This window comes from Homo sapiens, chromosome 2 (genome assembly GCF_000001405.40).
Source record: "Homo sapiens chromosome 2, GRCh38.p14 Primary Assembly".
In the NCBI taxonomy this organism is placed as follows: domain Eukaryota; kingdom Metazoa; phylum Chordata; class Mammalia; order Primates; family Hominidae; genus Homo; species Homo sapiens.
The window spans coordinates 132,905,839-132,933,093 of NC_000002.12; the positions used below are offsets into that span (position 1 = coordinate 132,905,839).

Consider the following 27,255-nt stretch of genomic DNA (forward strand, 5'->3'; position numbering starts at 1 on the left):
AGGTTCATAGTATATACTATGCCACTTGCAAATATTTTTTTCCTTCTTCTCAATAGCCAGTTTTATTTCTGATTCACATATGAAGGGACGCAGCAGAACTCCAAAAACAATGTGAACTAAGTGTGCAGATCATTGATGTGATTGTTCCTGACTGCAGTAAATAGCTCCAGCATATTTTTCTATTGAGATTGCTATTGGTTACCAAATAAAGCTATTCTTTATCCTGTTAAAAATTATACATTTAGTTCAAATTTTCCAAGAGTTTGAAACAAAAACTGGTTTGGAATTGACTGAAAGACTATTGATCTATTATTTTTCTAAGATGGTGTTTGGATTTCTTTGCCAGATTTGGGTATCTTTCCATCCAACTATAGTTACTGGAGTAGCTAACAGAGCAAGAGAGTTCTCTAAGACTTGAAATTTTACAAAAATTTGTCCACAGACTACTTGACTAGAGGGAATGAATTCCAATTTAACTAGATGTGGGACAAATTAGCTGTTAATGAAAGTGCCAACAAAATTACAGAAGCAGATGGCTATTTTCTAGATGAGAGATTATACTGTAAAGAGAGAGGCATTTTTGGAGTTGTCATCGCCATGCAGAGGTGATATGGACCTTGCACCCCAACCAAAATTTTGTTTTGGATATTGAGACTGATAATACCACATGCACATGAAGAAGGCATGAAAATACTTATAACTCCCATAATGAGGTCTTCTGGGGAGATTAGGGGAGACCCCCAAGCAGATCTGAAGTAGCTTGAGAGAGCCCAACCTTGCTTAGTTTGAACTTCCCACCTGAGCCAAAGAAGAAAGTACCTGGGCTTTCTTGACAACCAGAGCAGATGTGGAGCAGAATGGAAAGGGATAGTGGTGAGGCTTCAAAGCTGCCAGCAAACATAAAACATGGAGTCAAACTCTTTATTACAGTTGAGGTTGAAGAAAGATCAGAGGAGCACTGATTTGATGATGGAGAAAGAAGACATGAAAATTGATGGTCATGGACCTCAGGAGTTTGGGGGTCAAAACAGCAATTCTCCAAATATTTAAAATTGCATGATGAATAAAGGATTCAGGCTACAATAGAATTTTCTTTCTTGACACGTTTTACTTGAATGATTTACTGTTTTGCAGAAAATTTACTGAACTTACACTGCATCCAAGGATTGTGACTTTTGTACCATAATCAAAATCATTGTTGTTGAAATTCCAAAAGAATATTTTAAATATGCAAGAGCAGAAACATAGGGAATTTAGCCTTTTCCTAACATTATTTATATTACTAAACATTACTTTTAACTTATGAATAGTGACAAAATATTTAGAACAACATAAGGAAATACAAATACCTAGAAACTGAAAACCTTTTAGTCCATCCTCAACTCATAACAATGATCACCTAACCAAGGTTAGCCATTTTTGAGGTTGAATATAGACTTTTCCAACCCTGTTTGATTCTTTACCTAAAAGGTAAAATACCTTGAGGACACACCTGGCTCTAACTTGGGCATTTCAGAGATTAAGATCACGCGGGTAGCAAAGTCTTCAGGGCTGCTGCTTCTCAAAAATTTAGAGTCCTCTTTAAGTTTAGCCCAGAGGGCTATAAACTCCCATCTTAAGATACTCAGTTTAGCTCTTAGAGACTCTGTCCACATTTTCCTCTTTGTAGGTGGGAAAAGATACTTCCTATGTCACCTGCCTGAAGCCATCACCTGTATGTGCACTAAGAGGCAGTATGATTGCCTCATAATCAAGGCTCTTACCACTCAAAGACACGTTTTAGAGGTGTTTAGATAAACATCTCAGTTAATGTAATCATTCTTTTTTCTTTTTTTTTGAGAAGGAGTCTCGCTGTGTTGCCCAGGCTGGAGTTCAGTGGCACGATCTTGGCTCACTGCAAGCTCAGTCTCCCGGGTTCACGCCATTCTCCTGCCTCAGCCTCCCGAGTAGCTGGGACTACAGGCGCCCACCACCATGCCCGGCTAATTTTTTGTAGTTTTAGTAGAGAGGGGGTTTCACCATGTTAGCCAGGATGGTCTCGATCTCCTGACCTCGTGATCCTCCTGCCTCATCCTCCCAAAGTGCTGGGATTACAGGCGTGAGCCACCATGCCTGGCCCACAATGTAATCATTCTTTATAAAGCCTCATACCCAACAGAGATTTATTTGGTCAATGCTTTTGTTTATAAAAGCTTATTAGTCACAATAAGCAACTCCTCCTATACCTAGACACTTTTAACAGTTACAAATTCTTTCTTTAGATTAGATTTTCATTTCTGTAACCTTTATTTATTAACTCCTTTTTGCTTTTAAGAGCTATATTAAATATATCTCTATGGGGTTACACAAAACATTTTTTTTTTATATTTACACATCTAAATTACATCATCTTGATTTTTCTTTCCCTAAATTAAGTAGCTGTGGCCTGATTTCTATCTTTTCCTACAACATGGTTTTTAGGTGCTTCACCATCTTGGTTGTCTTTTCTCTTTCTCTTCTTTTCTTTCTTTCCTAAGGCACTCTGGTCAGTCAATTTCTCTCTTGAAATGCAAGTATCCAGAATCAAATCCTTTAGGATGTGGTCTGAATGGGGTAGAGTGTGGCAGGACTAACTGTGGTCTTCCAAAAGGATATTATTCTTCTATCGAATATCCTCCGACTGTCTTAGCTTTTAGCATAATCTTGACTAATACTAAGCTTATCTTCAACTACTCTCCCATGATTTTTCTTTTAATGCTAATTGTTTTTAAGCCTCTTGATTTAATAAATTGATTTTTAAGCCAAAAATGCAGGAGGTGACATTTATTACTGTTAAATTTTTATCTTGTTTACTATAGTCCACTGTTGCAGGATATTAAGAAATGAAAGAATATCTGGAATTCTGACTGTGACAAAATCAGTTATGCTACCTTCCCAGTTTGGATTACCTTTATGTTAAAAACCTGCTGTATAATCTTCATGTTATTGACAAATTATGCTGAATAATGCAGTTCTAAAACATGGATCCCTATGGCATAATTCTGAAATATCGTAGTCTTTATTGTGGCAGCTGATTACAATTACGAATCTTTCCAACTGAAAGATCAGCCAACACACATTTCTTCATCCTCACTGAACAGTGTCATAAGTTAAGTAATCAGATGTTTTGTTGAAATCTTGGTGTGATCAACTTATGGCAATCTCACGGTAAGCAGTTTTTAAAAAATCGATTAAAAAAGAAAATACTGGCCAGGTGCGGTGGCTCATGCCTGTAATCCCAGCACATTGGGAGGCCAAAGCAGGAGGACCACTTGAGGTCAGGAGTTCAAGACCAGCATGGTCAACATGGTGAAACCTCATCTCTACAAAAATGCACAAATTAGCTACGTGTGGTGGCGCACGCCTGTGATCCCAGCTACTCAGGAGGCTGAGGCAGGAGAATTGCTTGAACCTGGGAGGTGGAGGTTGCTGTGAACTGAGATGGCACCACTGTACTCCAGCCTGGGTGACAGAGCAATACTCCATCTCAAAAAAAAAATTATATCTATCTATCTTATTTTTAGTATGCTCAGGCTATATCCAATGATCATGCCTTTCTTTCTCATTTGCTCCTTTTTAGAAATTTCCCAGGCAGCAATCTCAAATTTCTTATGCTAGGGTATTCAAATTTTCCCCTTTATCAAAATGAAGACGGTATTATCTTCTATATTCCATTTCCTCAGAGATTATCGACAATGGTTCTGAGATAATATCCAGTACTTGGAATGTAATTTTCCTGACTGGGAGATGACTCATCCAGAGGAGCTAACTGCTTGTGTTCTAACTCCTCACCAATCTTGGGCATTGATTCATCCATTGGGATAATTACTCCATCCTTCCCAATGTGAGGAACACTTTGCTTTACAGAAACTACAGATGGAAAACAGGAGGTGACTAGCTTTGTCATTTATGGCTCCTGCTGCTGCAAATGCTGCTGTTTTCACCATGTAACCAAAATCTCCAAGTGGTTGAGAAATCATATGATTTTTCTTCTTGGAGGGATATGAGTAGCAAGCTCTTAAAAAGTCCTTACTCTATGTGATAGGACTTGCTAAATGCTTAAAGAATCTTATTTAATATTCACAGTAAACCTATGATGGAAGTGCAGTCATTATGCCCATTTTACAGGCAACAATGCTTACAATTAGAGCAGTTAAGGAACTTGCCTGAGGCACGGCTAGTGAAAACGTGGAGTCAGTATTCAGACTCAGGGTTTTCTGATACCAGCAACCATAATATTTTAAATTTTTTTTCATTTCTAATTTTTATGGGTATATAGTAGGTGTATGTATTTATGGGGTACATGAGATGCTTTGATACAGGCATGCAATGTGTAATAATCACATCATGGAGAATGGGGTACCCATACCCTCAAGCATTTATCCTTTGTGTTACAAAGAATCCAATTATACTCTTTTAGTTATCTAATATTTAAAAATGTACAATTATTATTGACTATAGTCAATAATATTTGTGCTATCATATAGTAGCTCTTACACATTCTTCCTATTTTTCTGTACCCACCCATTAACCATCCCCATCTCCCCCGAGCACGCCCCCAACTACCTTTCCCAGCTTCTAGTAACCATCCTTCTACTCTCTATATTCATGAGTTCAATTATTTTAATTTTTAGATCCCACAAATAAGTGAAAACATGGAATGTTTGTCTTTCTGTGCCTGGCTTATTTCACTTAACATAATCACCTCCAGTTCCATGCATGCCTTTGCAAATGACTGGATCACATTCTTTTTCATGGCTGAATAGTACTCCATTGTATATATGTACCACATTTTCTTTATCCATTCATGTGTTGATGAACACTTAGTTTGCTCCCAAATCTTAGCTATTGACTACTATGCTACATTGCAATTCATTTTTTTCTTTAAATACAAAAGAATATTTTAATTACTGTTTTAGAAACTATAAAGCTTATATGTATAAGCTTTGGATTGGATTGGATTTGGAAATGAGACTGTACCAAACAATGGCCAAAGAAGACTCATCCATTCTAGGCCTTCTCTTTTGCCTGGTAACTCAGAAGTATAATTCTATCTCATAAGCATCAGTACTCATAGGCCCAGTTAGTTACTTACAACATGGCCGTTTTCTGCAAATGGATGCCACATCTCTTGGGCCTGGCTGGAATACTGATATTCCGTGCCATGTTGTCTTCTGACCGACACCACCCATTCGGTAGAGAGACTTCACTGCCTGATTCCCACATCTCATTTGTTGCTAGAGAATACTGTGACTGGATGTTTTTCCTTCCACCTGTCTCATGATAGGGGCCTGACCCACTCAGCCAAGTAACTGCACATGATTCATGGATCTTTCAAGAAACAAATTGCTGGTCATTTCAGACTCACGTCTTACAAACTGATAAAGCACTTGTAACGCAGGTCTTCAAACATGGCTTCTATTTTCTTTTCTTAAAATCTAATCTTTAGACTCTTCCTGATGCTCTAGCTCAGCCAGTGTCCAGCTAGGAAATCAATTCCAGTGCACTACAATTCACTTAAAAAATGTAAATTTGGTTGACATTCTGACTTTTTGGCAAATTTTAGTTCATCATTGACTTTTATATTTTATGATACTATTCTTTTAAGTTTATGCCTCTCTTGTATCAGGTAATAGTCTTTCCTTCCTGCAAAATTCCAAGTCCTTTAAAAATCAAATTTTGTTGGTGAACTCCCTATGTGATATTTTAGTTAAATATCTCACTGTGACCTCCCCTTTTTCCTACTACAGTTCAAAAGTCTTCTTTTGTGTTTGTATGTGTGTATATACATGTAAATGCTGGCACTGTTTTCTAAGCATTTCCCACACAGAAGGACATATTTTCCTTTGCCCTCCTATGTGAACTCCATAAGCAGAGAAAGGGCCCTGGTTCCCATCCTAAAGAGGTAACGGAGAATTCTCTCTGCAGCACAAAAAGGAAAAAGATTTATTATTCCCTGGATCCTATTACATACATCTGCTGAACTCCCCCATGGCTCCGGTAAACTGCAGGACTGTTGATTAGCGGGCCCTCCCAGGCCTTCCAAGCTGCCTGAGAGCTGGCCAGTCGCTGCTTCTTGCTGGTGGTTGGAGGCACGCCCACAGTGTCTGCCTGGAGGAGCCTGTGAGCTGGGGATATCTGCAGAAACTACCAATCTGAGCCATTAAAGAAAACTGGTGAAAGAGTGGTGTTAGAAAAGAGTACTCATAGTTTTCTACTCAGCAGAGGACTAGCTCTCAAACTCTTCTGTGCAAAGTCAGATGCTGGCCTGTGGTGACTATGTGGCAGTGAGAGAAAGAGGCAGGCTTGGGCACCTCCAACAGGACCATACAGGGACTGCTGTGCCTGAAGTGAGCCAAGCTCTCGCTCTCTGTGGCACAGTGCCCTTTGGGAAAAGTCATCATATGGTCCAGAGGAAGAAATGCATCCTATCCTAGACTTGGTACATAATACCATTTTATTCAAGTACATGAGTATGAAAATGCATTCAAATAACCCATAATAAAACTTTGGACAGTCAATCAGGGTTTTTCAGAATATATAGATAGATTTCATCTGCAGAGCCTTCAACCCTCTGTGGACTATGTTTCTTTTCAGAGCCCGTCCATGACATCATAGTTGCTCATTCAATGAACATTCTGATATCTTATTTCCTAAACATTAAGTAGTGTGTACATATCTACAAACTGCCCTGCTTCCTATGGTTCCTTTGATGCTGATTTGCTTCTTTAAGCCTTCCTTCCTTCCAAACCATGAATCAGGTCCTTCCAGAGGCTAAGAATTAAGTTCACAATTAAGGCGACTCCCTCACTGTTTCCTCTGCTTTCAGAGAGGGGAAAATACTTCCAGGACAAGTCAAGAATTTATCAGATGCTCTGCTTTCAGCAGCCTGAAACTTTCAGCAGGAACACGATAGCCGAAATCCCATGCCACTTCTTCTATTGAGGCTTCCGTTTAAATCAGGTGAGATTAATCATCCTCCCCCTGTATAGTCTGGTTCTAGTGTTATTTCACATCCCTCCTCATCTGTGCTTTGAAATGATATAGAATTTTTTTCTATATCAACAACTTCACAAATTTCCAGTTTGCTTTCAATTTGAATGTTATCCCTACAGAACATTAGAAAGCACTCAGTGTTTAATAACCTAATAATTTAATATGCTGCCCTCAAACTACTACGGTCTCTTCCCTATACTTAAGACTTGGACCTAAGATTTGTCTCAATAAATTATTCAGCTACCATCACCAGGGCCTTTCAGCTATGATATGCCCTGGTGATCGTAGCTGAATCATTTATTGAGACAGCTCTTATTTATTGATTATCCACCATGTGCCAAGTTCCTACATAACACAGTCAGTCCACACAGAAATGTTATATGTTAATCATGCACATCTAGCTTGCAAATAAGATAAAGAGACTTTAATAAATAACATAAACACAGATCTGACTATCTTTACACCATGTCATGGATAAGAGAGATTCTACAGCCAGATGGAACCTGGGTCACTATACTATTTATTAGCTGTGTGATCTCGGGTGTGATGCTTAACCTCTCAGTGACTTGGTGCCCTCATATGTAGACTAGAGACAAGAAGAACAATAATGTGGTTTTATGAAGGATAAATAAGAGGTGAAAACTGATAGAATATGCCTGCTACCTAGTTAGCTCTCAATAAATGTTAGCTGTCTTCTGAATTTTTATTTGTACTTATAAATCAATTTTTTCCATAAGGCTGGTTCTTAGCATTATAGATGTAAATGATCACTTTGGGAGGTGGACGCTGATAAAGAGTATTGACTGGGTTCTGTGGCTTTGCTTCCCACCAAAATGCCTCTTGCAAATTATGCAAGACAGTACCTTGCATAATAAACATTTGAATATTTGAATAAACAAGACTTCAATTTTTAAGATATCTATGTTTGGAAATACCCACAAAGAACAGGGCTCATATTGAAGTGCATGGAGAAAACTCTTGTCATAATTTTCCATTCTCTCTATCCTCTATTAGCATACTTATCGTCTTCTTCAATCTATAAGTAAATTTGAAAAATAATGGAATTCAGATTTATTTATGAAAATGAATCTGCTTTTTCGTTTAGCCCAATGGGCTCAGTTGGTAATATTTCCCAAGGGGTCCTTTTAAGATTCTTAAAGTAAACATATAGTTAAAACTCGCACCACCTTGAAAAATAAGCATAAGAGCCTTAATTGCCTTTTTCTTGGCATACATCAATTTCTACACATAAAAATGCAGTACTGAATAACAGCAGTAAGCCAAATTTCTTTCAAATAGCACATCTATGTGAATAGTAGCTGTCCATTATGTTTCTTAAAATCTAGGAGGCTAAATCATATTTGTGAAAAGAAACTTTATAATAAAATTTAAAAAGCCTAATTCGTGTGCAAAGAAAAAAGGCATAGAAATGTTTCTTTTTAAATTAATACAAAACCTTCCCACATGCTCCAAAACAGTAACAATTTGATGTTAAAATAATTCATTGTATAGTCTTTTATGATAAAAATTTTAGAAAAAAAATAATGAAGTGTAAAATATAAGCAAGATAGGAGAGGAAATTTGGGGAAATTTTAACTGATCTATTTTTTAAGTAGAAATGGACAATTCCTGAGATAGCCCTGTTTTCTCTTTGGCCCCCTTTCACAAATAGTCTCATGGACTAATACTACCTTTAAAATACAACTGCAATATAGACTCTCTGAAACCCAAATGCTGGGGGTAGGGCCAGGAGAGAACTGAGAACACAATGGAATCTTGAATGGGATCTTGTACCCCAGTAACGTTAAAGGACTTCTGAATTCTATGACCACTGAAGGTACTCAGCACTTTAAGACCTGTGCATTTCACCACCCGATAATTTTATTTCAATACAAATGAGATAGTTTTGTAAATCTGATGGGTCACTGAGACGTGAATGCTGCTCAAGGCCATCAGATAAAAAGCCTATCAGGAGGAAGTGTGATAGCCCTGGATATGTGTGTTTTGTGGCTTCATCCTTAGAGCAACACTGCTGTATGATGACATCCCAGAAAGATCATAGCTCTTATCCTAAGTGTCTCAAGAGGCAATCTAAGATATTGCCAGAACTCAGCCAGCCATCAAGTAAAGCTATGGCCAAAAAAAAAAAAAAAATGCCTATTGCATACCTTCTATTTCAGCAATTAGGCCTCTAAGTATTCATCTAAGGAAATAATCTAAATGTTTATTTAAAATGTGCACAAATAGAAGGGTGCTCGCTGTTGCACCAGACATGTGATGAACCTAAGACCGGATGGACCATTTGATGGATCTGCTAGACTTGTGGCTAAGGGCATCCAGTGTCTCCTTCCTGAGTTTATATCATGGGGAAGGAAGTCTGAATGGTGAACAGTGGCATACTGTGCAGAGCTGTATCAGATGAGAAGACGAGAGGCCGTCCTGTGTGCTGCATGGCCTGACCTGGTGTGATTCCTACAGAGAAAGGAGCAGGAGGCTAAAGGGGATGAGGCTGTTTCCAAACATGATTTGGGAACTGCTGCTCTAGTCACCAAAATCCCACTTTGGGGCCCAGGAGGGAAAGGCATGTTCCCATCATTTTCTTGGACAGGAAGCAAGGTGATTGCAAACCAACAGGGGCTACATCCTGGGAACAAGGCACTGCAGAACTCTCAGGATAAGTAGTTCTGGAACACTGTAAACACAGAATACAGCCCACTGGTTGGGGCATCAGAATTCCTGTGGGGGTGCCCCGAGTAGCAGTCACAGAGAGGGGCCTTCGCTAAGCTGCTTTCAATCCAGGTTTGTGTGTGAGGATGTGTCAGTCACAAATGGAAGAAGATGTTTTTATGACTGTACATACGAATGTCCTGGGAACTTCTGAAATAACTAGGGGGAAGTTTCTTGTGGGGAAGAGTGAGCAGAGCCTCTGTGTCTGTTGGGAGTGGGGAAAGATGGAAAAGAGCCAGCCACACTCAGTTTCTTAATGTGACCTAATCTGACCCCAGAGGCAGATGGCTTAGGGAGACTTGGGGATAATATTTATAATACGGTAAATTTGGAAACAGATAAAATACCCAACACTAGAGCATTGGTTAAGTGAATTATCACACATCCATACAATGTGAGGTGGGGCTATGACTCAATAAATGTGTATACTTTCTCTGTATTTCACAGCCTCACTACATTCATTCTCACTGTTACCCCAAGGGAACTGCTAGACCTCAGTGAGCAGAGGCAATGCTCAGAGAAATTGACTGCCAAAGTAAAGACAGAAATATTCATGTTTGCAGAGGCTGCCCTCTTTTTTTTTAACAGCAAGCAAAGATGAGAAATACTATGGTGAAGGCAAATTGGGATAGGCAGGGGACCCACTATATTGTGCCTTGGGTTAAGAACTTCCCTAGGCATAGACTGACCACAGAATTTATGATCGAATGTGACAGAGGGCGTTAGCTGGATGAGTAACTGGGACTCAGAGAACCTTACTTTGCATGGGGCTGGTTGATCCTAGGCCACTGTTACAAACGGATCATTATGTAACCATTAAAGTGACAGCATAAAAACACACATCATAAAGTGGAAAGGTTCCACTGTGACATTACTAACAATCACGTTACAAAAAGGCTTGTACTGTAGGATCCCATTAAAATAGGAAGAGGCATAGAGAAGAATGACTGGCGTGTAGATGCCAAAAAGAATGATTATTTCTGTATTAACTGTATAAAAGGTTATTTGAATTCTGTGGTTTTCCATCTTTCTATTAATGGACATTTATTGCTTGTAAAATTAAAGTTTATATTAAAATGTGAAAGAAAGTTAGTTGACTTAGGACCAAAAGTACAGCTTATATGTGGCACTAGCTGCTTAATTTTGAAATTCAATTTCTAGACCACCTTTGGAATCATCACTACAATTTTACTGTGGACTCAAATGATGATTTTCTCAAGGGCATGATCTGTATCTTATTTCATCTCTTTACTTTTTTGGAGGGGTTAGAATAACCCAGTTTGTAGCTGTGATGTAGGTTAGCATGTGGCTGCCTTCCTGGGTAAATCAAATTGAAATATTCTACTTTGAGTCTTGATTCTCTAATGCAAAATTGATGGAAGTGCCAGAGTGGAGTAGACCCAATAATGATGACAACTAATGTTTATGGAATGGTTTCCATGTACCTGTGTGCCAGGCACTGTTGTAGGCTCTTTGTGTGCTTTATTTAATTCTCACAATAATCATATGACATAGGAACTCTTAACATCCCTTGTTTACAGATAAGAAAGCTAAGCAGAAAGATATGCAGTGACTTGTCCAAGGTAACTGAAAATATGTAATCTACTCTTGATCTGCCATGGCTTTGATGAAACTAGCAAGCCACTCTTGAGTTTGGCAGAAAAATGACTTAAAATAATTTTCAGTGCTTCATTATGGTTTTAGAAAATGATTTTTAAAAAACTTTAATATATACTTTTGATAACTCATTTATAAGATCCATACGTTTGGCTGCTCATCATAATTTACACTGTGTTCTGATGTTATACAGAAGAGGGCATTAAAATGATAGTTCATAGCCCTTATTTAACCGCCAGGATTGGTAATTTTCATTTTGTCCTTTAATCTATTGGGTTGGTTGACTCATTTGTTATAAAAACTTGATAACATTTTAGTAAATACATTTTTCTGCTTTAAAATTTATAATAGTTGATTATTATGATTAGTATTTACAGTTGCTAACTTGAAGAACAAACATAAACTAGGCAAATACAGGGAAAATATTATTTCACATTCTTTGACTTTATTGGCTGCAGAGATGGGAAAACAGCCCTACAGGTGCACCTTTGTCCACCTGTGGGGCTTAAACATCCAGCTCCCATGAGCTCTTTATTGAGGCCATCAGAAACACAGGCCTGTGACTATGATTCCTTTTAATGTGTCTTTGGGCTCCAAACCATAAGACTTCTCTCCAATCACTCTGTCACTTAACTCTAAATCCCACTTATACCATTTCATAAATTTAGTTTCTCTGAGGATCCTCCTCCTCCTCTGCAGGAGGACCAATTTAAATCATCCTTAAATCATCACATTAAACACTAGCTATCATTGGCTGCAAGGGAACCAAGAAGTATATTATACCAAGTCTTAAAATGCTGTCCATGCCTTTTTAATTTTACCATAAAATCAGAGATAGCTATTTGATCAGGAAGGATTTAATGAGTTTACCTTTTAAACTAATGGACTATAATGGGCTCCTTAAATTTTGCATGTAAAAACCCATGGGTTGGGAAACTTTCAATTTCTCCTTAATAACTCATCACTATAAATCAGATTCCTTTAATATACTATGCATCAACATTGCAATGAGCTCAGAAGGATCTGGTACCATTTTCTTCCTGATGTCTCAGCCACAAGGAAAGGCTGGTTTTTTTCTGAAAGGTAGTACTCAAAGCAATTTCATTTTATTTCCCTCTACAGAAGATATCAGATATTTAATTAAGCACTCCCATAAAAGATCTACCCTTAGGTATTTCAGAATGACCTGTTCCTTGAGGATTTCCTTGGTTTCTCTCTTGCTAGAAAAGAAATTAAAAGACATAGATCGTAGGGTTTGTCATGGTACATTCAGCATATATTTTGTAATTTTTTTTTATAGCCAGTAGTTAAATATTAACAGTAGAATGCATTTATTGGATCATTTCTCCTCCAACTAAAATATAACACTAATGATTATAATGATGATGACATTACAACATCCATAATGATGATGACAATGCTATTATAAAATAACGTTAACTTGATCCTTCTCCAAAGCTTTGCATTTCTCTAGATTTCTAAAATAAGAACAAAAAAGACAATAAAACACAAGTGATTCAAAGGACAGTATAATGTAAATAACAATGCTTTCTGAAGATTCCAAGTTTAGAAAAAGCCATGAAAAGAAATTCCAAGTTTAGAAATAGCCATGAAAAGAAATTGCTTCCTGAATTACATAGTAAATCACAATCTGATGCCTAAAGGCTTTTGACAGTGAAAGGTCTACACATTGCCAAATATTGGGATGAAAGCTTCATGTTTTCAAATACCCAGTATCAAACAAAACAAGGATATTCCCAATTCATCTGGAGTTGGCACCATGGTAAGTCACAAATGATCTGGTTTAACTTCTTAAACAAATGATGAATTTATTGTTTCATTTCATGGACCTACAAGCCATAGTCAAAGGGAGAAACAGAAATTGTCCAGCTTCTTTTCCATCAACCTAACTAACATGGCAATTCACATAGCAAAGTGGATTTGCAGTGACAAGAGAGGAAGCCAATTTACATGTATGGGTGGAATGGGAGTGGTGATACAGCCTTCTTGGTCTGGGGGATGGAGAAGGGAAAGAAAAATGCACTTTCAGGTAGAGCACTCCCAGGATGTGTTCACTTCAGCTAAAAATTCATCAATTACCCTGCCACAGAGAATACCAAGATTATAGTACAGCATATAATTAAAGAAGGTGGAGGCGCAGAGGCCCTGGCAGAGACTGTGTCTGTCTATCTTGCTTTGAATGTGTGTTCTACACAGCAGCACATGTAGCTTGCTGGAGTCTGGGCACCTGGAGAGAAGGGTGGGTGGGAGCCACCGCTGACAGAGAGTCATTCACTGAACACGCAAACTAGCTAAAAGAAATTAATGTTAACACCAATCACAAGATTAAATACACAACATTTGATGCAAGATCAACAGCGGGATGATGGTATAGCTTCTGAAAACAGGTGGAGTTGACCTTAAAGAAATCAGATCAGCAACGACAGACAAGAAGAACAGAAGAGACAAAGGGCAGAAGAAACAGAAGGAAAGAAAAAGATAAAGCAAAAAAAGAAAAAAATGAGAAGGAATAAAGAAAATATGATCTCTAGAAGATGACATCTATACTTCTACAAGACGATGCATCAACTCTAGGGAAATTTAGGGCTTATATGAAATATAGAAATTTGACTCAAAGTGACTGGAAGATGCTGAGTCTATTTTTCACACAGCTCCAGAATGAGCAGTAAGTATCTGCAAAGTTATGAAGAGAGGCCAAGTCTTGCTTGTGTCTACCTTAGTTATCAAAGGGCAGAAAAGGGACCTCTGTGGCCTGGATGCTGTTGCTGGTTGAAATGTGCATTGCTGGAGCCAATTTTAAAATCCAAGTAGCAAGTTCATGGTTCCTTGGCTACTGCCTGCATACCTACATTGCCCAGCTGACTGGACCACCAGGACCCACCGTATTCCCCTCTCCCCCTTGCCATCTGGCCTTTTCATGATTTTTTTTCTTTTAAATTAAGTTCCTATGCTATTTCATGGCAGGAAGTTTTGTGTGATGTATCTATGCCAGCTCTGAAGTCAGACTGTTCACAACTCAGTTTCACCATTTCAATCAGATAGTTATGTGACCAAGGGCAGGTTACTGGTCCTCTCTGAGGTCCTAGGTAGGAATAACAACACATTCCACAGAGGAGGAGCTGTTTGCTCATTTTGCTTTCACATACTAGAAATGTTCACAATTATTCTCCATCCTACACCATGTGTTGAGTACTATCTGTGGGTTACAGCATCATGTAAAAAGTTAGGCAGAGAAAAAAGGACCCCCTTTTGTTGATGGACTCTACCAAAAAAAAAGTGGGAGACAAAGGGAAAGCTGATGGCCAAGAATTAAGAAAGTTCCTGTAAGAAAATTCAACACTTGCCTGGGGGTGCTGTGTGTTGACTTTCCATAGCATGAGGCCTGGTTCAAGGGACCTGAATGTCATGTTCCATTGAGAGCTTATATATATATGGAAGAACTTATATATATATATATATATAAGTTAGTTTATATATATATATACGTATATGTATATATATGTATATATATATATGTATATATATGTGTATATATATATGTATATATATGTATGTATATATATATATATATATATATATATATATATATATATATATATATGGAAGAACTAGGTTGTCCTTTGAGGGCTGGGTCCTTCTGCTCCTCATTAGCTCAGAATGCACCTCCCTATTCTCCTTATTTAAAACTGTATTAAACTGACAATTCTACTTGATTGAGATCCTGATCTCCCTTGTGGCATTTAGGCCTTAATGTATGGCACTACAGTTAAGTATCATCAACTCCCAGCCCACTAGTGTGAAATCCAAGAATCAAAGTCCATCATCAGCAGGAAAGACATTGACTGAACTGTATATATTCCCAGAGAGGATCTTCTCATCCTTAAACCCTTCCTTGGTTTTTCTCATCCTCTCACGAAGCTTTATCTGCCATTCCTAGGTTGATGAATCCTCAAAGTAAGCCCCACAGGAACCTCATGTACCAAACTGAACCCTTTATCTCTCTCTCCAATCTCCTCTGTTGTGGAGGATCCAGAAACTAGGGTATAATCCTCCTTCTCTAAGACATGGAGACCTCCTTCTCACCCAACACTCCCACCTGAAGCAGGCCCTCAATCCTGTAGATTCTCCCTTTTTAACATTCCTCAAACATGTGTCCCACTGCAACTAATTATAACTTTTTTCTTTATTGTAAGCTGGCTTCTCAGATTCTAGGATAGCTCAATATAACATCCCCATAACAAATATTTATCGAGTTGTCCACTAGGTACCAGAAATATGCAGGTGGATAAGTAAAGAGCCATTGCAATGCTGCTAGGACATGAGTATATGATGCTATTGGGCATGCACAGGAGGGATATCTAACCTAGTCTTTGATAGCTCAGAGAAGGCCTCCTGGAGGTAGTGGCAATCATCCCGCCTTTGAAGGCTGAGTGCAGGTGTGTTAGCCAGGTATAGCATCAGTTGATGTTTCCTGGGCCAACATCAATTACCTATCTTTGGGAAAGAGTATCTTGACTTACGAGGAACCTCTTCCCCTACCCTACAAGTCACTGTTCCTGTGATTTGGTTGGAGCTGACTCCAATACAGCACCTCCACTCCTCCTGCTTTCCAGGTGGGAATGTAATGCAGGTTTGGCCATTCGGTGCATTCCAACCCCATGGCCTCAGTGACTGTTTCAGAGATGAGCCCATGACTCTATCAGAGTCAATATCAGGACTTTTGCTGGGAGGTGCTTAGTTTCCACGGACATGACTGCGAGCCCAAGATGTAGGTCTAGAAATGTTGGCCATTATTTTGCTACCCTGTACTGAGAGTCTGCCTGAGAACAGAGCAGAGAGATGGACAGAAAAAGACACCTGATTCTGATGACACCACCTGGGTTCATGAACGCAGCTATGCAGGGAGCTACTTCTGAGTAAATACACTGCCAGAACCAGTGTGAGTTAGGTTTTCTGCCATTTGTAACTAACAAAGTTCTTACTAATGCATTAAGGAGGAAAAGAGTATTCTAGGAGGAGGGAATCATACATGTAAAAGCTCAGAGACCAAGAAACTTTGACCCATTCTATGTACAAAGTTCTATGTGACCAGAGAGTAGGAGAGAAGAGTCACTTGGAGAAGAAGCTAGAAAAGTTAAGAGCCAGGCTTTTCCAGTAGAATGTTGCTCTGCCAGAGTCAATGTCATAAAATGCAAATGTGATCATGCAATTCCTCTCCCCTGCTTAAAATACTTTAATGAGACCCCAAAGGTTTTAGGATGAAGTTCAAACCCATTAGCTTGGCACCCAAGGCTTTTGATGACCTGGCTGTTCCTTCTCTCTCTGGACTCATCTCCCACATCTCTCCCATGGGCAACCTGTGCTCCAGCTAAATTAAACTACTTGTAGTTTTCCAAACAGGGCATGCTGTTTCATGCCTTTGTGCCTTCATATTGCAATGCATTATATAATTTAATCCTCACAAGGGCCCCCATGAAGTGCATATTATTATCCTGATGTTCCCAGAAGTATAGAGAAGTTGAGGAGCCTCAAAAATCATACAGCCAGCAAGACAGAGATCTAGGATTTGAACACATATGTCTGACACCAAAGCTCTCCTTCTTTCTTTTCTACTACCACTCATTCCAGTTCTTTTAACTTCTGGTCATGGACCTTTATGTTGCACAGCCTGGTCTTTTAATGGAATCAATAAAATTTCAGAATTTCAGGAGTGGGGGCTGGAGGGATGCATAATGTTCAATTTAAAGCTACTTTGCTACTAAAATCAACACAACTGCATCTTCTTTCAGTCCACCTTTTTTTTAGCATCTCCTTCATGCCAGGCACTGTGTGGAGAGATGGTGCTACAGAGGTAAACTAATCCAGCTACAGTCCTTGCCTTCATGGGCTTTCAGCAAAGTAATCTACTCCTCACACTTAATTCTCCTGAGAAGGCTTCCTGGATACACTTGAGAATGAACTCCACTTTGGTTATACAGACACATGGAACTCCATCACTGCTGTTGCTGAGAAAATATCAATGGCTACATTATTTTCAACTGCTGCCTATGAGTTATATCAGAGATTAATTGATCAGCTAAATGAGAAAATGCAGAGAATACACAAGGAATAAATCGATGAAGGAAAAAGTGTGCTGTGTCTTCTATACCTGGGATCAATTGTGTTACAGCTCACTCAGAGAGGCACCAGATTGCCAAACAGCCTGCTTGCAAGGGGTCACAAATAGGGCAAATCACCAGCTTAACAACATGTGAAATTTTCATTGTCTTATTTATAACCAATTTCTCACTAAAGTGAACAACATTTCTTAATGGTACAGTTCTGCAGAAGAACAAACTAGAAATGTTTTCTTTCCTTCTAATTGGGACAAAACTGATCATCACCTAATGGGCTCTTTACAGAGAATAAAAGAAACTAAACTAAAAAAAATGCTCAGCACGAATTGGACGCTAAGGATTAAATGAAAATAAAAGGACAGTTTTGTTTCATTTTTACCTCAGATCTTTAAAGGTACTGTTAGAAAAATCTAATAATTGTTTTATAACTCTTATTTGGTAGAAAAAGCTAATTATTATTAAAAATTTTAATAAAAATGAGAAAGGATTGTCGAGAAGTGAAAAATTAAAAGGGAGATTTCCAATGTTGAAAAAGCACCTTTTATGAACATAAAAATCTATCAGTCTGTCCTCCCCTAACCATATTTGGATAGGATCTGACACATTAAAAGCTGGACGTTAGCCCAGTTAGCCTGAGTGAGAAGTGATTCAGGAGACACCAGACATAAACCAAATGGCTGGCCCCACAACCAGTGGGTAAAAGATGCTTGCTGTCCAGCAGGGTCTGCAGAGCCAAGTGGTCACAGTGCCCAGAGAAGCCCCCTTGGGCAGGCGACCCCTACAAACCTCAGCTTCTACTCCTGGGCAGAGGCTTTTACAGTCCTGAAAATGCTATGCTACAGAAGAGACATTCTGCGAGTGAAAAAAGCCATTATTCCACCCAGGAAAAAGATGATTTTTTTTTCCCATAACCGCAGTGGCCATCAAAAAATGGATTCATTTTTCTTGTGCTGTACTCTGGGCCCATAAAATAGTTTCAGGATCTCAAAAAGACGATGTCGTAGATGGAAGTTTTGTTGCAATGAGCCAGCCAGAAGTGAGAATGACTTTAAAAGACTGAATTTTTAAAATGCTCTAAACCCAAAGATTAAGAAAATATAAAATATTACAGATAGGTCACTCCTTTTGTGTTGTGTGAGTTAATCATGTTTATTCAATGGGTCCCACTTTAAATGCAGTATGTCAAATCCTAAAATATTATTCTTAGTTCTTTTAAAATTACATGACATATTCTCTTATCAACATAGGCCAATAAAATACAAACAGGCATAATTGGTGCAAGACAACCCTTAACAGCTAGTCCAGGTTAATCCACTGGCATGGATTAGATTATGAAAGGTTTAAATAACTAATTTCAAAGTCTTACATATACATCAGGGATTTCATTTGACTAAGCTTAGTGATTATTTGAGTGTTAACCAGAGTAAGTTGAGAGGCTATAAAACCCATGCCAAATCACATTCAATAACATGAGACCTAGGGAGGTCTAACTGGAACTGCAGAATTGACGTGAAAAAAATACTAAGGAATATTTTCATTATAGATTTATGAATGTGAAGTGGATTGGGATAGATTTTTTTTTTAAGCTAAGGGTGAAAAAATAGAGATTTAGTGAAAATAAGTTAGGGCAAAATGGCACCTTGTGATTTAGAATTGTATGTTTTGCATCTCATACCCCTACAGAGGCTGGCTGTGCCTTAGACACAGTAGTGATTTGCTTCTTTTGGGGGCAGTGGTCTTCAACATTTTTGGCACCAAGGACCAGTTTCGTGGAAGATAATTTTTCCATGGACTTTGTTGGGGGGTGGGGAATGGTTTCAGGATGAAACTGTTCCACCTCAGATCATCAGGCATTAGATTCTTATAAGGAGTGCACAACCTAGATCCCTCACATGTGAAGGTCACAATAAAGTTTGCACTCCTATAAGAATCTAATGCTGGCCAGGCACGGTGGCTCACGCCTGTAATCCCAGCATTTTGGGAGGCCGAGGCGGGCAGATCAGAAGGTCAGCAGATCAAGACCATCCTGGTTAACACGGTGAAACATCATCTCTACTAAAAGTACAAAAAAAAAAAAAATTAGCCGGGCATGGTGGCAGGCACCTGTAGTCCCAGCTACTCTGGAGGCTGAGGCAGGAGAATGGCGTGAACCTGGGAGGCGGAGTTTGCAGTAATCCAAGATTGTGCCACTGCACTCCAGCCTGGGTGATAGAGCGAGACTCCGTCTCAAAAAAAAAAAAAAAAAAAAAAAATCTAATGCTGCCACTTATCTGACAGGAGGCAGAGGAGCTCAGGCAGTAATGCTCTCTCACCCACTGGCCCACTGCTCACCTCCTGCTGTGCAGCCTGGTTTCTAACAGCCCACAGAGAGATAACAGGTCTGTGGCCTGGGGGTTGGGGACCCCTGTTTTGGGGGATAGTTAATTCTAGTCTAAAATTCATCTTCAATAGTTGAGGAAGTAACTTTGCCAATGTGACAAAGTAAGGTAGGGGATACAAAGTTCTAAAATCAAGATTTCCTGACCACCAGGTGTTATGTTTTTTACTAATCTTTTCTAAAAAATTTTACGAATTTAGGGGGTACAAGTGCAGTTGTGTTACATGGATAAATTGTGTAGTGGAAGTCTGAACTTTCAGTGTAGCCATCACCTGAAGAGTGTACATTGTATCCATTATGTAATTTCTCATCCTTCACCCCTCTCTCACTCTCCCACCATTTTGGGTCTTCAATGATTATTATCACACACTTTAGGTCCATGTGTACACATTATTTAGTTCCCACTTACAAGTGAGAAATTGTGGTATTCGACGTTCTGTTTCTGTTTCTGAGTTATTTCTCTTAGGATAATGGCCTCCAGTTCCATCCATGTTTCTGCAAAAGATATGATTTCATTCCTTTTAATAGCCACTAGTATTCCATTGTGTGTATATACCACGTTTTCTTTATCCACTCATCCACTGATGGACACTTAGGGTTGTGAATAGTGCTGATATAAACATATAAGTGCAGGTATCTTTTTATATGATGATTTATTTTCTTTAAGGTAGATACCCAGTAGTGGAATTGCTGGGTCAAATGGTAGTTCTACTTTTAGTTCTTTGAGAACTGTCCATACCATTTTCCATAGAGTCTGTAGTGACCTACTTTCCCACAAATAGTATAAAAATGCTCTCTTTTCTCTGCATCTCACCAACATTTGTTTTTGTTTTTGGTTTTTGTCTTTTTAATAATAGTCATCTGATGAATATAAGATAATATCTCATTGTGGTTTTAATTTGCATTTCTCCAGTAATTAATGTTTAGCATTTTTTTCATTGCTTTTGGCCATTTGTATGTCTTCTTTTGAAAAATATCTATTCCTGTCCTTTGCCCACTTTTTAATGGGGTTATTTGTGGATTTTTGTTGCTGTTGTTGAGTTCCTTGTAAATTCTGGATATTCATTCCATGTCGTAGTCACAATTTGCAAATATTTTCTCCCATTCTGCAGGTTGTCTCTTCACTCGTTTATTTCCTTTGCTGTGGAGAAGCTGTTTAGTTTTATTAAGTCCCATCTGTCAACTTTTGTTTTTGTTGCTTGTGATTTTGAGGTCTTAATCGAGAATTATTTGAGTAGACCAATGTTCAAAAGAGGTTTCCCTAGGTTTTATTCTAGTTATTTTAATAGTTTCAGATATTACATTTAAGGCTTTGATTCATCATTATTAATTTTTATATGTGGTGAGAGACAGGGGTCCAATTTCATTCTTCTGCATATGGCAATCCAATTTTCCCAGCACCATTTATTGAAAATGGTATTCTTAGTGTATGTTTCTGTCAACTTTGTCAAAAATCAGTTGGCTGTAGGTGTGTGGCTTCATTTCTGGGTTCTCTATTCTGTTTCTTTGACCTATGTGTCTATTTTTATAGAAGTGCCATGCTGTATTGGTTATTATTGCCTCAAAGTATAATTTGAGGTCAGGTAATGTGATGTCTAACTTTGCTCTTTTTGCTTAGAATTGCTTTGGCTATTCAGGCTCTTTTGGTTCCATATTACTTTTAGGATTTTTTTTTCCCAATTCTGTGAAAAATGACATTGGTATTTTGATAGGGATTACACTGAATATACAGATTGCTTTAGGCAGTATAGTCATTTTAACAATATTAAGTCTTCTGATCCATGTGCATGGAATATTTTTCCATTTGTTTGTGTCATCTACAATTTCCTTAATCACTGTTTTGTAATTTTCCTCATAGAGATCTTTCATCTCTTTGGTTAAACGTATTCCCAGGGTTCTTTTGTTTGTTTTGTTTTTTTGCAGTTCATTTAAATGGGATTGACTTGTGGATTTGGTTCTCAGCTTGTTATTGGTGTATAAAAATGCCACTGATTTTTGTATTTTGATTTTGTATCCTGAAACTTTACTAAATTTATTTATTAAATCTAAGAGTTTTTGGAGACATCGTTAGGGTTTTCTAGGCATAAGATCATATCATCAGTGAACAGAGGTAATGGGCTTTAATATTAAGAAGTTGGGCAAAGGGGTTCACCAAGATAAGTTCTCCTTCTATACCTTCTACTCTTTCTTATGGAGAAGAGACAGAGCCATATTTTCATGAACTTTCTTGCATGTTGACTCATAATTGTTTTCCCCTTTCACATGTATAAAATATATCTGTTTCTTAAGTAAAAGCAAAATTTCTTGTCCTTCCCATATGCTTCTCTGAACCCTTTCTATAGTGCTTTGTGCATGGCTTTTGAATATAGTAGGAAATAGAACAGGATAGTGTTTAAGAGGTCAGACTACTTGGGAATCCAATGTCAGCTTTACCACTTATTAACTAACTGGACTTGAATAAGTTAGTTAACTCCTCTGTGCCTCAGTATCTCCACCTGTAAAATGGTTACAATAATACAATTATCTTATAAGGTTACAGGGAGAATTAAATGAATTATTCCTGAAGCTCTTAAAACAACATCTGGCATGTGGTAAGCACTACGTATGATAAATTAAGATAAAATGCTTGCTGAATGACCAAATGTTTCTTTGCACCTACAATAATTAATATTACTCATTAATTGATGAGGTTTCCTTAACAAAGACATGGTTTGTGTCTTTGCTAAACTGTGAAAAACTCTATCTCTTCTTTGAGATAAGCAGAAAGATAAATAATAGCTATGACACATATACCTATCTTGTAAGTTGCTTTGTAATTATTTATTACTTGCTGAAAAACTCAAGTGGGCAAGGGGAAGAACAAGGCAGTCATGTTAACATCTAAACCTTATTAAAGTTTCATCTTCTTTTAAAGTCCAGGAAGACAAATGAGCTACCAGAGGAATTTTCTTTCCTCTGTAAGGCTTATACACGAATTTGAACATAACTATTAAAGTAAATTAAATGGGATTTAGTAAATGGCCAAATAACACTGTGGTGGGAGCCAAGGGAGCAGACAGAAGCAAACTATCAAGTTTGGGTATGAATTTCAATGTCTAAGATGAAGTTAGACCTAGTCTAACTTCAAGACTCCTACGTGGTGGCTCATGCCTGTAATCCCAACACTTTGAGAGACCAAGGCAGGAGAACAGCTGGAGGCCAGGAGTTCAAGATCAGCCTGGGAAATACAGTGAGACCCCCTTCTCTACCAAAACAAAACAAAACAAAACAAAACAAAACAAAACAAAACAAAATTAGCTGCACATAGTGGTGTGCACCTGTAAACCCAATTTGATGGTATCTGGAGGCAAACAGTGGAGCCCCTGTGCAGAGCACTCTCCCTTTCTACCATGTGAGGACACAGCAAGCAAGAAGGCAGAACTCTGCAGACCAGAAGCAAGCTCTCCCACAACACAGAATCTGCCAGCACGTTGATTTTGGATTTCGCAGCCTCCACAACTATGAGAAAAAAATGTTTATTGTTTACACCACATAGTCTATGGTATTTTATTATGTAAGCCCAAAATAAGACAGAGGCAATGAAAAAAAAAATCACACAAAACACTTTTCTTGCTCTAACACTATGACTGTTTGATGCAGAATATTCTCAAAATTTACAATTAAACTAGATAATTTCTGGCTCTTTATGCAGATGTGATTGGCTTTGCTTGATTTGTGTTACCTGAGTTAACAAATAAAAGGTTAAAAAACCCTAAAAATATACTGTTAAAATTGTTCATATTTCAGAATCTGAAAAGTATTTTGGGAGTACAATTTAAGAAAATTAAATATAAAATATTATGATTCTCAGGAGAAGCTATGTACAGAGTTGAATAAAGCCACAGCTGCCTTCTTCATCTAGGTGAGAACAGTTCTTTAGGGTCTAGGAGCAAGCATAGCAAAGCTCTGTGGAACTCTGCCTCATGGTCATCAATAGATGTGCTCTCTATAATACAGGGGTAAATCAAACTCAGTATGATTTGCCTCATTTCTTTACTTCTCTCAGTGTTGTCTTCTCTTCTGCCCCATGTCCTTTTCCTATTATTGGTCACTATGCTGACTTTGTGACATGTCAACTTGGCTACAGTAAACTACATTTTCTCTGAATTCCCTTTGTTGTATATTTCAGATTAGGGTGAGCCACAAGAAAAATTCTTCAGAGATACGAGTCGTGGGCGTAAAACAGCAGCTGTTGTGTAGCTCACACAAGTTCTTGCTAATCTGCTGGTTTTTAAACTCGTGATCTGACTTGTCTGAGAGCATGCCTTGTGGACTTCAAGCCCCAGCATGAGATCCAGTGATAACAGCCTTGCAGAGACTACTTCCAACCTCCACAATTGTATAAGCCAGGTCCCCGTAACAAATCTCATACTGGTTCTGCTTCCCTGGTTGAAATTTGAATACAGTCACTCTATTGACCAGGACGACCCTGTTGCAGTACATGGTTGTCTGCAGTCACCTGGCTGGTAGATTCCTCCAAATCTAGGGGGAAGGACTAAAGGGCCCCCAAGAGGCTATAGTGATGATGTGATAATTAATTTTATGTGTCAACTTGAGTGGGCTGAAGGATGCCCAGAAAGGTGGTAAAACATTATTTGGGAGGGTATCTATGAAGGTGTTTCAAGAAGAAATTAGCATCAAAATCTGTAGACAGAGTAAAGAAGATCTGCCCTCCCCAGTGTGGGTAGGCATCATTCCATCACTTGATGGTGCAGAAAAGGTAAAAAGGTGGAAGAAGGGCAAATTCTCTCTCTTTTTCAGCTGAGACATCCACCTTCTGCAGAAAGGCATAGGAGCTCCCGGCTCTCAAGCCTTCAGACTCTGGAACTTTTACCAGTGGCCTCCCAGTTCTCAGGACTGTGGACTTGATCTGAATTACACCACTGGCTTTCCTGGTTTTCCAGCTGCAGATGGCAGATCATGGGACTTATTCCCATGTGAGCCAATTCCCATATTAAACCTCCTCTCCTGCCTCTCTATATATCCTATAGTTTCTGTTTTTCTGAAGAATCCTGACTATACCAACAACTTGGAAACTTAGAAGTAACAGGTAATAACAATGATGCTGCGGATACAAACATGACAGGTACACAGCATGTACTAAATGTAGGGTCCCAGTACTACAGACTCATTTTTTTCTCACCAACCACCCTATAAAATAGGTACTGTTATTTTATCTCCCTCTATACTCTGAGGCACACATAGCTGAAATAACTCGCCAGTAAGTAGAAAGCCAAAATTAAACTCAGGTACTCTGGCTCCAGAATCTGTGCTCTTCAATACTATTGCACCATTCCAAATCAACCTAAATGTAATGCTTTCCATCCTCTGGCTACCCTGACTTTTAGAAATTTTTCACAACAGAAAAATAGTGTGCTAGCCTGTGACAGTGCAGCCAGGAAACTTCTGTTCTGGTCCTGATTTCACCACTGACTGGCTGTTGTTAAAGCAAACTAAGTATGGCCTGAGAAGGACCGCATACTTCTGTATCTGAGTGATTGTGGATGAACTGTAACCTAGCTTAACAGGCAGACTAATAGGCCTAATAACAGGCGAATAGACTAATAGGCCAAGCTCTAACCAATCCAGCCATCTGTTCCTCACTTCCAATTTCTGTACGTCACTTCCCTTTTTTTTTCCCTTCTACCATGTGGCTGCGCTGGAGTCTCTGTGAATCTGCTGTGATAGTGGGGGCTGCCCGATTCGTGAATCATTCATTGTTCAATTAAACACCTTTAAATTTAACCTGGGTGAAGCTTTTCTTTTATCACTGTGTAGCATTGGGCAGGTCAGGCTAACTTCCTTACTTGTAAAATGATCTCAGTGCCTTCTTCCAGCTATAAAAGTTCACAATTCTATGGTGTTAAAGTTCTGATTATGATGTTAAAAGATCCTTGGAAAAAAGCTGCTCTGTACAATAAAATTAGGTAATAAAACCTACAACTGTATATTTGACTTCCTTGCATTTATTTTTCAGCCTCTTCCTACCTCAAAAATTATTCTGTAGCTCCCTAGGTAATTATAATAGTGATTTTTTACCCTTTCCAATTGTGAGGACCCTGTTAATCACACACATGCAAAAAGAGTTGTGAAATTCCATAGAAGAAAAATATAAAATTGTAAGTTGAGAAAAAATACGATAGAAAGACATGTTACACTTGATAATGCTTTTAAGTAAAGTTAAATTTCACTAATTATAACAACATCTAGAGACATTTGAAAAAGAGTGCATATTCACCGTACAGGAAAAACTTTATGGAGTTACTGACCTACAGGATTCTTAACAGTTACCTCTTGGTTCTCAGTTCCCACTCAGGGCGCTCCTCACTGGTAATCACCTATTACAATTGTATGCAACTTGTTAAATGTAACTATGCTAAAAATCAATATATGCTGAAAGCCAAAAGGAGGACTGTTTTATATGCCACAGCTTTATTTTCTTTAGACTTTACTGCCTATTTTTGTGTTGTTTTGTTTGTTTCTTTCATGGTTTTTAAATTGACAGATTTTTGGTAAGTATTATAAAAGTTTCTGATCTGGAGAAGTATCACTCCTCTTTGTTTTTCTTTTCTTTTCTTTTTTTTGTGTGTGGGTGTGTGTATCTTCATTGTCATTTAGCGAAAGTTCCCCTAATTGTTAAAAAGCCAAGAGTAAGCATCAAGTTAGAGACAGGGAAAAAGTACAGAGTGAAAAGCAATTTTAAAAATTGCATAATCAGTCTAAGAAGAGTAGAACTGGCCACTTTTAAAGGCCAAAGTCCAAACAAGGTCTTTAAGAATTTGGTAACACCAATGGCACTCACCAGATGGGTTAAGGCAACACTGCAATGGGAAAGGTGACAACTGCTCAGTAGAAGGCAGACATCATGTAAACAGTCGTACTAGCTGTTTTCTTGTGTCTGAGTCTATGCCTAGAAGGGGTTTACTTTTTCCACAAAAGGGGAAACATACTATGATACCCCTGAATATACATCCTAGAACTCACTGCTTAAAGAACACATAGAAAAAAACAAGGTCATGCAACCATCCCTAGGAAGTTACCAAAATTCATTCTTAGTTCCCATCTGGGGGCAACCCTGATGAGATACTGCAAGGGAAGAAAAGAAGATTAAAGGTAAACAGGCGTAGTTCAATATCAACACTTTAGGCAAATCTTTCCTGATTATCCTCTACTTTTTTTTTTTTTTTTTTTTTGAGACAGAATCTCGCTTTGTTGCCCAGGCTGGAGTGCAGTGGAACGATCTCGGCTCACTGCAAGCTCCGCCTCCCGGGTTCACGCCATTCTCCTGCCTCAGCCTCCCGAGCAGCTGGGACTACAGGCACCTGCCACCACGCGTGGCTAATA

The 27,255-nt window shown here is 38.5% G+C and overlaps 1 protein-coding gene and 1 long non-coding RNA gene across 21 annotated transcripts in view; one reads left to right on the forward strand and one right to left on the reverse strand.

The window, feature by feature from the left end:
* Positions 1-27,255, reverse strand: part of NCKAP5 (NCK associated protein 5) — a 1,003,049-nt gene that overhangs the window by 234,051 nt on the left and 741,743 nt on the right. The gene's annotated exons all lie outside the window — the stretch shown is intronic.
* NCKAP5-AS1 (NCKAP5 antisense RNA 1) lies at positions 9,719-25,656 on the forward strand. The gene is made up of 2 exons (NR_135572.1): positions 9,719-9,813; positions 24,041-25,656. It is a non-coding gene; the product is annotated as an NCKAP5 antisense RNA 1 (long non-coding RNA).